The 13,090-nt window shown below is 37.9% G+C and overlaps 1 pseudogene; it reads right to left on the reverse strand.

Annotated features, from left to right (window-relative positions):
- Nucleotides 10,871–12,083, reverse strand: GAPDHP30 (glyceraldehyde 3 phosphate dehydrogenase pseudogene 30; annotated as a pseudogene).

Consider the following 13,090-nt stretch of genomic DNA (forward strand, 5'->3'; position numbering starts at 1 on the left):
AGAGAGGGAGAGAGGGAGAGAGGGAGAGAGGAAGAGAGGAAGGAAGGAAGGAAGGAAGGAAGGAAGGAAGGAAGGAAGGAAGGAAGGAAGGAAGGAAGGGAGGGAGGGAGGGAGAAATCAATCCTCATTCTATCAAGGGAAAATGCAATGAGCAATATGTAGTTGAGACATTAGAACCCACTAAGAAGTCAAAGCATAACACAATTTGAGAACCTTGAACAGTTAATACCAAACACTTTTTTTTTTTTTTTTGAGATGCAGTCTAGCTCTGTGACCCAGGCTGGAGTGCAGTGGCGCAATCTCAGCTCACTGCAAGCTCCGCCTCCCGGGTTCATGCTGTTCTCCTGCCTCAGCCTCCCGAGCAGCTGGGACTACAGGTGCCCACCACAGCGCCTGGCTAATTTTTTTTGTATTTTTTAGTAGAGACGGGGTTTCACCGTGTTAGCCAGGATGGTCTCGATCTCCTGACCTTGTGATCCGCCCGCCTTGGCCTCCCAAAGTGCTGGGATTACAGTCATGAGCCACCGCGCCCGGCCCAAACACTTTTTATATTTCATGATTGGTTAGGTTAAAAGGATTGCAAATATCTTACTGTCACAGGTGTTTGTTATAAACTTCAGGAATGACTTCTTGACTCTGGGAGTACCTAGAAGAAGATTCAAACCTACCTGCTCACAGTGGGAGCTAAGGCCCATTTTTCTAAATAACCAAGTTATTTTATAAAAGAAATTTTATAAAGACAGGGACATGTCAGGGATCTCAAGTAAGGCTTTAGTCATCTCTGGGAAGGGATAACGTCTCAAATTTCTTTCTATCCCCAGTGCACAGTTTAGTTTATAAGACTAGTATAATATCAATCAATATTTGGTATTAACGACTTGGAGAGTGGGAGAAGTCAAGGAGGTTTCTCAGATTTGGCAATAGGAAAAGCATATTACTTAAGATGGGAATAAGGAAATGTTGCTTATCCCAGTCACAATGAAAACCCAGAACCTCCAGAGGTAGCATTGAAAGGAAAATCTTCTGGAAGTAGGAAACATCTGGGCCACATGATGCCAATTCTGTTCTCTTGAGATTCATCTTCCCTTTCTGGGCAGAGTTTCTCAATATTAGCATTATGGACATTGTAAGCTGTATCGTCCTCTATTGTGGGGATATTCTGTGCATTGCAGGACTCAGTTTAGCATTATCCCTTGTCTATCCACTAGATGACCATAGCATCCTCTCCACCAGTTAAGACAACCAAAAATGTCTCCAGACGTTGCCAAATGTCCCCTGGGAGGCAAAATTGCCCCCAGATGGAACTACTATTTTAGAGTCTCTCCTTGATTATCTCTGGCCTCAGGACATTCACTCCTTTAAAACTGGCCCAAGTGACAAATAGAAGAGCTAGGGAAATGCCATGTCAAAGAATGTACGGGCCACGGTAAATGACTCTTGGCTTCTTTAGAATGTGTGCGGAGCAGGATAGAAGGGATAACACCCCTGCATTTTTTAAGGGGGTTAAAAACTGGCATGTGAAAGATATAAACCTTGACTCTCAGTGGCAAAAGTAATCGGTAATATATAATCATTAAACAGAATGATAGAAATGTAAAAAAAAACAAAAACAAAAACAAAAAAAAAAAAACAAAACTGCTTGCTCAAGTGTGCCCAAGATTCATTGCTTCTGGGATACAACAAAGGGGAAATAAATTCAGAAAGGATTATGAATCTAACTAATCTTATTTACAAGCTACGGCTGACTGAAGCACAGAGAAATAAATGATATTTTGAGACTTCTTCCTACCTCCTGCTTTGCCTCCTCTAGATAGATGCCAACTTTAAGTCTTTCTTAAAGGAAAATCTTCCCGGACACATGAAACCCTTAAAGACTAGATCACGAGTTCTTTCTGCGCCGACATTGCCAGATCTCCTGTCTCACTTCCTATCTGGGATATTTCTCTTCCCCAGGTAACTGAAACAGGAATTATCTCATTTGGATAACCATATATTAATAAAATAAAATAACCATGACATTTATTCAATAAGAGGAAAGCAACTATAGTTTCAAGGGAGTTCTTTCCTTATGCAAGGTCACATGTTACATTCTAATCTAATTATCGTTAAAGTTACACATGCTCTCACATTTTTCTCACAACATCTACTGCTTCCTACTGATCTCTGAGAGTTCCAGTGAAGGACGTGGTGAACAAGAGAATGAGAAGAATCTGTTTTTGGATGCTCAGTTGGCTGGTGTCTACACAACACATCTGCAAGTTGTGATGGACGTGTTAGATGATCAGAGACCAACATTTCTGCTGTAAAGCCTTTCATTTGCTTTTCATCACAGTGACACACAATTTCCTGCATTCTCTGCCCCCTGGGGTGTTTTCTGCAAAGAGAAAACATTACTTTTGACTTTTAGCATATCTGCCCTAAATTAGCCTCATGAGTTCTCTGTGTTCTCCAAGACTGAAGGAGAAAAATTAACAGAGCAAAACTGAAAACTAAGTAGAACCAACAAATTCTATATTTTTTGGAGAAAGTCTCAGTAGAAGAACAGTTGTACTGGGCTGAGAGCAATCCTCCAAGCAGAAACCAATGAGTAAGACCAATTCTAACAGGTGTTTGAAAACAAATTCACAGAGAGTTTAGGAACCATCCTGAAGTCTCCAAAAATACTTGGAAGTACACTTGGGCTCAAAAAGATGCATATTCCAAGTGATAAAGAAACCAGAACAAAAAGTTTGTTTATTTTTGAGGAAGCACTTGGGACAGCATCAGCTTAACCATTACCCACGGCTTTGAGTCCTACAGCAGCCACTTATTTGCTGTTTGGTGTTAAACAAGTCATTTAGCCTCTTCTCTTCTCAGTTCCCTCATCTGTAAAGTGAGAGTCTAGATAATTTTTTTGAGTTCTTGGAGCGTATGTGCTTTTTTTTTTAGATTGGAAGTTCTCATAATTATTTTTAATAGAAATGTGTGGAATAAGGATTTTGTCATGCAAACTTTTTTCCAAAATATTCTCTGACCTTAATTCTCTTACCTTCCATTAAATATGATATTCATTGATTTGACACTGTCTACTCTGCCCAAACTGTCTTTCTGAACACTTACTTCTGTTTCACTCACTTGTACTTCCACCATCTTTGCTTGTATGAAGCCTACTCACTTGTTAAGTCTTGCCTCAAGCATTGACCTCTCCTGGCACATATTCCATTTGCTAAACAGCTTTCTGCAACACCCTCTGCATGTATCTATCTGTACTTAACATGATATATTAAAAATGATCTGTTTCAGGAAGTTCTGTAAGTGGAATCATATCTCTTTTATCTTTGTATCTGCAGTGCCTGGCCTAATGACTACTAAATAATAAGCCATTGAAAAAATACATATTTAGTTTCTCTTGTTTAATGTATCTGTGAATACAGTGCCTAGCCTCACAGAAACAGTACTCTAACCAGTGTGTTACTATAAAATGAGGTGATTCTACCCTGTTTTATATTGTATTCTAAAGCAGGACAGAGGACTAAAGGAAAATTCAAAAAGTGAGTGATTATTCAACTTTTAGAAGAAAACTTTAAATAAACATAAATTGCATGGCCAAAGTAAAAGATAAAGTCCTATAAGGGTTTATAAGACCTACACAGTCTGGCTCAACCCCTACCCACTACCTCTATGACCTCAGCCACTTCATTCTCACCCCTCCTCTCCTAGTCCAGTCCAGCCAAAGCCAGTCACATCCAGCCTTGGGGCATTTACATTTAGTATTTTCTGGCCTAAATCTCCACTCTCTGGTTAACCACATGTCTTGATCTTCATCTCCTTTTAGGTCTTTGGTCAGAAGTCACCTTCCTAGTGAAGTCTTCCCTGACCACCCTGTTTAAAATTGCAATAGCCAATCCACTTCACTCCTTAGTCCCCTTCTCTATTTTTCTCTAGATTTTATCAACATTCAACATACTATGTATTTTACTTATTTGTCTTGCTTTATTGTTTGTCTGTCTCCAGTAGAATCAAAGCTCTAAACGTATTAACTATTGTGTATAACCCTATTTACCCTGTGCCTAGCACAATGCCTGGAACACAATAAGTGCTCAGTAAATAATTAATAGCTAAGCAAATACACAGTCAATGTGCATGACCTTGATCAAATTACCTACATATTTCCTAGTGGCTTATGTATCTAACCAAAAACTGAATTCAGTACATGAGTATCAAACTGCCTACCTGACATCTCTACCTGAATGGCTACTATGCAACTCAAGCTTAGCAAGTCTAAAACCGATTGCTTGATCTTTGTCTTAGTCCATTTGGGCCTCCATAACAAAATACCATAGACTGAGTAGCTTATAGACAACAGAAATGTATTTCTTATGGTTTTGGAGGCTGGGAAATCTAAGATCAAGGTACCAGCAGATATCACAAGGCTATCGTAACCATAACAGCATGGTATTGGTATAAAAATCAATACATAGACCAATTTAACAGAAGGGAGAACTCAGAAATAAAGCCATATACTTACAGCCAACTGATCTTTGACAAAACTGACAAAAACTTACATGGGGAAAAGGATGCCCTCTTCAATAAATGGTGCTGGGAAAGTTGGATTAGCCACATGCAAAAGAATGACATGGAACCCCTATGCCCCTATATCTCACTATACATAAAAAATCAACTCAAGATGGATTAAAAACTTAAACATAAGACCTGAAACTCTAAAAATACTTGAAGAAAACATAGGGAAAACTCTCCTGGACTTTGATGTAGGCAAAGAATTTATAACAAAGACCTCAAAAGCACAGGCAACAGAAACAAAAATAGACAAATGGGACTTAATTAAACTAAAATGCTTCTGCAATGCAAAAGAACTAATCAAGAGTGAAGAGACCACCTGTTGAACGGGAGTAAATATTTGACTACTTGCAAACTATTCATCCTACAGGAGACTAATAGCCAGAATATACAAGGAATTCTAATAATTCAACAGTAAAAGAACAAAAAATAAATAATTTCGTTTAAAAGTGGGCAAAGGATAAGAATAGACATTTCTCAAAAGAAGACATACAAATGGCCAACAGGGTTAAGATTTCAACATATGAATTTGGGTGGAATACAAGTGTTTAGACCATAGCAATCTCTTCCCACAAACGTATTCCTCCTCTAGTCTTCCCCAGCTGAGTATGTAGATAGAGCTGACACCATCCAGCCAGTTATTCAAGCCAAAACCAGCCAGTCATTTGGAGCATAGATAATGCTGTGTGTTCACAAACCTATTTCACTTTTTTTTTACCTGAACATACAGCCAGATTACATTTCCCAGCACCCCCTAAAGTAACATAGTTATGTCATTGAGCTCTGGCCAGTGGGATTGTAGGTGAAAGTAATGAACTCCACATCTGGCCTGGCTCCTAAAATGTCCTTTATGATCCTCTATGCTTTCTCTTTATACTCTTTAGAGGCCACCTGTTGAAAATGGAGGCGCCACAAGTTGTGGAGCAGATCTCCCTCACTCTCCTGTAGACCCATATTGGACTGTGACATGAGCAAGAAAATAGTGGGTTAAGTCATTGAGATTTGGAAAGGGATGCTTGTTACAGCAGCTCCTACCCTGCCTAATACATGCTTTTGTTACTTTCATTTTCCTCCCAAGTGCAACCCCTCATCTAAATTCTGAGAATTCTCTCAACACAATATTTCTTCAATTCTTCCTCTCTTCTTCATCTTCATTGCCAACACTCTAGTCAAGGGTCAACCAAGTCTTACTTGGACATCTGCAATAGCCTTTTTATTTTCATTCTTGTAACCCTCACGTTTATTCTCTAAACATCCAGAATGATATTCAATAGTTTCTTGTACACTTATAATTAAATCCTCTACTCTCACATGACCTGTATCTCACCCCTTGCCTACCTCATTCCCCTCTTCATTCACTACACTTCAGCCTTTTTGACCTTTTCTTTACCACCTCAGAGTCCTTACGCATCCTATTGTTCCCTCCCCTGAAGAGTGCTTACAGTGACTTATGGTATGGCCAATCTCCTTTCATCTTTCAGTCTTATCTTAAGCCTCACTTCATCAAGAAGACCAGTTTTGAGTGCTCAGTCTAAAGCAGGTCCCCAGATTATTCTTAGTCTTGACACTCTGCTTTTTCCTTCATATCACTTCACAGTTAGTAATTACATATTTATATTTACCTGCTTAAAGTCCACCGATTATACAGTAAATTCTGAGACTGTCAGGATCTTATCCATTGTGGTCACCTCTGAATATCCAGCACATGCACAATGCCTGGCACATGGTGGGTGCTCAATAAATATTTGCTGAATAGATGAATGGATTGATGTAAATTGATCACTGACTCTGTCTGGAATTCATCATTTCCTTTTTTTCCCAATACTACATGTTCTTTCAAATGTCACCTCATTCATCATTATGGGAGCATCTTTTTTTTTTAATTTGCAGGCTCATGTCCAATTTTACCTTATTTATGTTTACAACAGAAAAACATTTCTAATAAGAGAAAATGATCAACACAATCCCAATAGCACACTACCAGAACTATTTTCATTATTGCTGTTTGTGTTACAGGGAGGACTATGTAGAAGGAAATAGATGTTGAGTATCAGCCATACGAGGGTAAATGAGTCTGTGATTCAAGCAGTCAAAGAGAGTTGGATAACATGCTTCAGTAAAAGACTTCCCTAAGAACCTTTCCAGAAGTTTCCAGAATGTCATAATCTAGGGACAAAGCTGAATTTGGAAAATGGAATTTAGTCAGGAGCAGTTCTTAGTAATACTTAGATTCTACCAAGGGCCTTTCCTGTCATATTTCGGTTTTGTAATTTTTTTTTCTTTTGACCACTTGGGGTCCTTGACCTAAGTCAGTTCTTCCTATTACCTCTCAGTCTTTATCTACACTGTTATATATTTTATATAGTTTAAATAACAAGGTCATGAAATTTATATTTAATTTATATTTTTTATGTTGCTACATAGACTTTCTACCATTGTAAAAGTTGAAAAATGAAGCACCAAGTTGGTATATTATTCCTTTGTGTGCAAGGCAGCCTAGCATAGAGGCTAAAGACCCTGCTTCACAGCCACACTGCCTGGGTTCAAATGCCATCTCTGCCACTTACTAGGACCTTGAAAAATAACATGACCTCTTCGTAAAATAGTTTTCTTCATCAGCAAAATGGGACTAACAATAATACCTGCTTCATAGAGTTACAATGAGGATTCAGTAAGATATCAGATATAAAATATTTAGATCAGTACTATGAAAATATAGCAATTTTTATCGTTGGATATTTATGCTCCTGATTTTTTTAGAAATACCAATAAAACTACAATAAGCAACTTAATGCATAAAGCTATTTTCTTCATTGTTAATCATTTATCTAAAAAGTTCTTTTCCTTTTCATCGTTTATCCAAAAGACTAAACCATATCCCTCTCTTAGTAACTGTATTTCCTTTAAACAACTGACAATTGGAAGTTAGACTATGAACAAGCTTCCATTGGGCCCATGTTAAGTAGCAGGAAAGCATCCATTTATGCTGGGGCTTAAATTCTGAGGTTAGACTCAGAGTAAACAAGCAGGTGAAGAGGTTGGGATGATGAAAGACAATAGACCATTACCCAAGCCTAATGGTGTTGTAAAGGAGATAAATGTCTTTGAAGTAGCACCCTTAAAACCTGTGACCTTTAGATTGACCTTTCCTTTCAGATTATGGTATGCAGGTTGTTGTGGAGTCTGTGCAAAGTCAGCAATTAGAAAGATGGACCTTGAGAGAAACAGGTCTTTGAGGAAGGTGCCTACTCAGAAGTATGACTCTATTTCTTCCACTAGTTACCTATTGGCTTCCAAATTCCCCAATTGCTTTCAAAATGTTGGAGGTCTATGGCTCACTCTCTCACAGGTGCGCTTTCTCCAAGACAGAAAATGCATTGAGTCTCACCCCATTGTTACAGTCCATGCTGTGAGCACAGAAAAAAATCAACACTGGAATTTGGACAAATTGCCCTTTACTTGTGGCGAGTAAAGTAAATGGAACAGATGGTTAATAACACTAAACACTAGTCACCTGCAAAGAAAATGGTATCTAGAAGAATTATTCATTTTGCTAAGGTCATTGAAGAAAATACAGGATTGATGAGTTTGCTAGAAGACACCAGAAACCATACACCTTTGATCAGAATGAATGATTTAGTAGGTAATAAAGCACTATGGAGATTATTTGAAACAACTCATATTTATACAGCATGTTAAAGTCTTCAAAAAACTTTCCCTCATGACAATAGTTCATCTTCATGCAGAGTTATGAGATGTGAAAGAGGATGATTATTATTCTCCCCGTACCCAGAACCCTTAATATTTATAAGTTAAACCCGTGCCATACTGGGCCATACTGGAGCCTAAGACAAAAGAAAAAATTCGGCGATACTGATCCTATTTTTATTTAAAATTTTGATATTGTATTCATTATGAATGTTTTGCATTTATTTTGCAGATTTTAATTTTAAAATATTGCATTAACATATTATTTACTTTGATTACTGAGTTTTTTGATGCTCCCCACCCTCTCCATTAATTGTCTATTAGAATGTCCCTTTTAAATATTATTTTTAAATGTCATTACCCTTACAACCCAACATTATGAGTTAGTAAACTTTGTTAAATGCTATAGAAGTGTGTCAAAATTTTATACCTAGGACATATTCTGCTTTACCTACTACAGCTCAGATGACAGTGAACCATCCCCAAGGAATTGACTATTTTTTCTTATTCTGTTCTTAGTTGAAGTAGAGAGTAATAGGCGACATGACTGATTTCTGTTTAGTTGGTTTCATTTCTTGTTTAAAAATATTTCACCAAAAAATACTTACACAGAGTTTTATCTTAATCAAAACTAAGCAGAGTTTATAACGAAGAATGTCTTCCCTGTCACTTTTTCCTAACGTAATTTCCAAGAGCAATATTTTTTAACTTTTAAAAACCATTTCTTATATTTCTGCCATTATTTTAAATAAGAATTTACCTCTTGATTTATCAAATAGATGCATTATTTACTGCTGTTATGATAGATATCAAATTCTCTAACCCCAATATACCTTTTCCTTTCCTTCACCTTCCCAATACAGTTATCAGAGTTTTTAGTAAAATCAGTAACTGTTGTTTCCATCATCATAACAACATAAAATATTGTTCTCTGCATAGCAAATGCTACAATATAATTATGCTTCTTGTACTTTTTGATTTTTACTGGTATTACTTAATTACCTCCCTTTTATCATAATCATCTATATCTTTTATGAGATAAAAGATACCATATCTATAAACAATATCCTTAGATGTTTCAAACCTCTCCATCATATGCCTATGTTTAAACATACCAGATGATGTATCAATTTTATGTTGTTCCTGGATACCTTCCTCATGAAATTCTCCCTCCAGTTTCCGAATTCTAAACCGGCTGCTCTCTTAAGGATGGCTGTTATTCTGAACTTCGATTTTACAAGATCTTGTCTAGAATTTCCTATATTCTGAAGCTCAAGTTTTTCCCTTCCTTATTTTACTCTCTAATTGTGCTGGAACACATAGTTTTTGCTTCCTCAGTAAAGGTGAGTGAAAGCCAAGTTTTTTAGCATATTATTTAATTCCCATATATTTGAGAATTTTCCAGATTTCCTTATGTCATTGATTTCTAATTAGTTCCATTTCTAAACATATACTTTGTATGACTCGAATTCTTTCAAATTTATTGAAACATATTTTATGGCCTAGAACATGGTCCATCTTGCTAAACTGTGTGTTGATTTGTTTGGTGTGTACTTGGTCCTTGATAAACTTCTTCCCTGTGTACTTGAAAAGAATGTGTATTCTGCTGTTGTTGGGAGGAGCAGTCTATAAGTGTCAACTAGGTCAAATTGGTTGATAGCATTGTTCAAGTTTTCTATATGCTTCCTGACTTTCTGTCTTGTTGTTTCATAAACTGAGAAAAGGGCATTAAAATCTGTGACTAAAATTGTGGATTTGTCTATTTCTCCTTGCAGTTCTATTGGTTTTTGCTTCAAATATTTTGAAGCTATATTATTAGGTGCAGAAATACTTAGGATTGCTGTGTCTTCTTGATTTACTGACTCCTTTATCATTAAGAAATGACCTTCTTTATCCCTGGTCATATTTTTTGCTCTGAAGTTCACTTTGTCTGATACTAACATAGCCAGTGCAGATTTCTATTAATTCATACTAGGATAGTGTATGTGCTTCCATCCTTTTAGTTTTAATCTATTTGTGTCTTTATTTTTACATGGGGTTTCTTGTGGGCCACATATAATTGGGGTCTTGCTTTTATATCCAATCTGATTATATCTGCATTATAATTAGGGTGTTTAGAACATTTCCATTTAGTATGTTTATTGACATCACCGTCATGATATTTGTTTTCTATTTGTCCTAACTGTTCTTTGTTTACTTTTTCATCCTCTTTTTTGTGCCCTTTTGTTTTGTATTGAGTATTTTTTATTATTCCATTATATGTCCTTTGTAAACTAATTAGCTGCAATTCTTTATTTTATTATTTTAGTGGTTACTTTGTGGTTTACAGTATAATCTTTAAGTTATAACAATCTCCCTTCTAGTAATATTTTGCCACTTCTTGTATGGTCTAAGAACCTTACAATAGTTTACTTCTATTTCTCTCTTTCTAGCCTTTGTGCTAATGTTGTAGTTTATTTTACTTCTACATATATTATGTACCCTACGTGACATTGTTATTATTTTTGTTTAAGCAGTAAATTATCTTATAAAGAGATGTAAGCAACTTTTTTAAGTCATGTACTAACCAATGTGGTTACTTTTTTATTTTGTTTTATTTTATTTTTGGCTGAGTACGGGGACTTTATGATGGTACAGTACATGGCAAGGTGGGGCTCCCTAGGCCCCTCTCATTCTTCAGGGTTTCTGGCATGAAAACTGTGTCAAGGGGAGATTCTCAGTGTGGAGGTGAATGACTGTGGCAGGGACTTCCCTGCCACTGAAGGCCCCTCTCCTCCACACATGCTGTCACTGGGGCTGGTGGTCCAGGGAGTTCTTACTCCTTGAAGGCCATGTGGACTATAAGGTCTAACACCCTGTTGATGTAGCCAAATTCATTGTCATACCAGGAAATGAGGTTGACAAAGTAAGTGGTAATTGAGGGCATTTCACCAGCATTGAAGAGAGGAAGAGCAGGTGTCACTGTTAAAGACAGAGGAGACAACCTAGTACTCAGTGTGGCCCAGGATGCCCTTCAGGGGAGCTCTCCAAGGCCTACTTTACTTTACCACCTTATTGATATCATCATATCTGGTAAGTTTCTCCATATGGCAGATCAAGTCCACGACTGATACATTGGCAGTGAGGATATGGAAGACCATGCCAGTGAGCTTCCCATTCAGCTCAGGCATGGCCTTGCCCACACCCTCGGCAGCACCAGTAGATGCAGGAATGATGTTCTGGAGAGCCCTGCCCTCACACCACAGTTTCCCAGAGGGGACATCCACAGTCTTCTGAGTAGCAATGATGGCATGGACTGTGGTCATAAGTCCTCCTCTACAATGCCAAAGTTGTCATGGATGACCTTGGCCAGGGAGGCTAAGCAGTTGTTGGTTCAGGAGGCATTGCTAGGGATCACGAGGTTTTTTTTTTCCACTTCTCATGGTTAATGCCCACCAAAAACATGGGGGCATTAGCAGAGAGGTAAGAGATGATGATCCTTTTGGCTACCCACTCTAAGTGAGCCCCAGCCATCTCCAAGACACTGAAGATACTGGAGGATTCCACAGCATAATCAATGCCAGCATCAACCCATTTGATTTTGGTGGGATCTTGCTCCTGGAAGATGGTGATAGTATTGCCATTGGTGACACACTTTCTGTTCACAGCCTTGACAGTGCCATGGAACTTGCCATGGGTGGAATTATACTGGAACATGTAGACTATGTAGTTGAGATCAATGAAGGAGTCATTGATGGCGACAATATTTACTTTGCCAGAGTTAAAAGCTGGTGCTGCATGAGAAGCTGCAGCTGTATGTCAAACAGGAGGAGCAGAGACTAGTTGCCATTTCTGATGCTCATCATTCCTTTGCATAGGTCCATATTTCTATCTGGTATCATTTCCCTTCTGCCTGAAAGGCTTCCTTTAACATTTCTTATAGTCGGTGGGTGATAGAATCTTTTAAATTTGTATTTCTGAAAATTTATTTAATTCAACTTCAGTTTCTGTTTTGAAAGATATTTTCTCTGGTTATTGGAGTCTAGTTTGAAATTCTCTCTTTCAATACTATTAAAAATGTTGCTCGACTATCTTCTTGCTTACATTGTCATTGTTTCTAATCAGAAATCTAATCCTAATCTTTCTTCCTCTGTCTGAAAGGTATCTTTTTTCCTCTGGCTGCTTTTAACATATTTACTTTTTGCTGGTTTTGAACAATTTGATTATGACATACCTGGGTGTAGGTTTTTTCTTTTTTCTTTTTCTTTGCTTGGATTTGGGTTTGTTGAGCTTCTTGGATCTGTGGGATTATAGTTTTCATCAAATTTGGAAAATTTAGGGCCATTGTTCTTCAAATGTCTTTCCCTCCATCCTCTTTTGGTGCCCCAATTACCCATAATATTAGGCCCCTTGAAATTGTCCCACCACTCACTGCTGTTCTGTTCATTTCTTTTGAGTCTTATTTCTGTTTCATTTTTATCATTTCTATTGCTACATTATCAAATTCATTAATATTTTCTTCTGGAGGGTGGTTCCAAGATGGCTGAATAGGAACAGGTCCAATCTACAGCTCCCAGCCTGAGCAACACAGAAGATGGGTGATTTCTGCATTCCCAACTGAGGTACCGGGTTCATCTCACTGGGACTTGTCAGACAGTGGGTGCAGGACAGTGGGTGCAGCCCACCGAGTGTGAACCGAAGCAAGGCATGGCATCGCCTTCCCTGGGAAGCTCAAGGGGTCAGGGAATTCCCTTTCCTAGCCAAGGGAAGCTATGACAGACAGCAGCTGGAAAATTGGCTCACTCCCACCCTAATACTGTGCTTTTCCAATGGTCTTAGCAAACTG

Source organism: Homo sapiens, chromosome 8, assembly GCF_000001405.40.
Source record: "Homo sapiens chromosome 8, GRCh38.p14 Primary Assembly".
Taxonomy (NCBI): domain Eukaryota; kingdom Metazoa; phylum Chordata; class Mammalia; order Primates; family Hominidae; genus Homo; species Homo sapiens.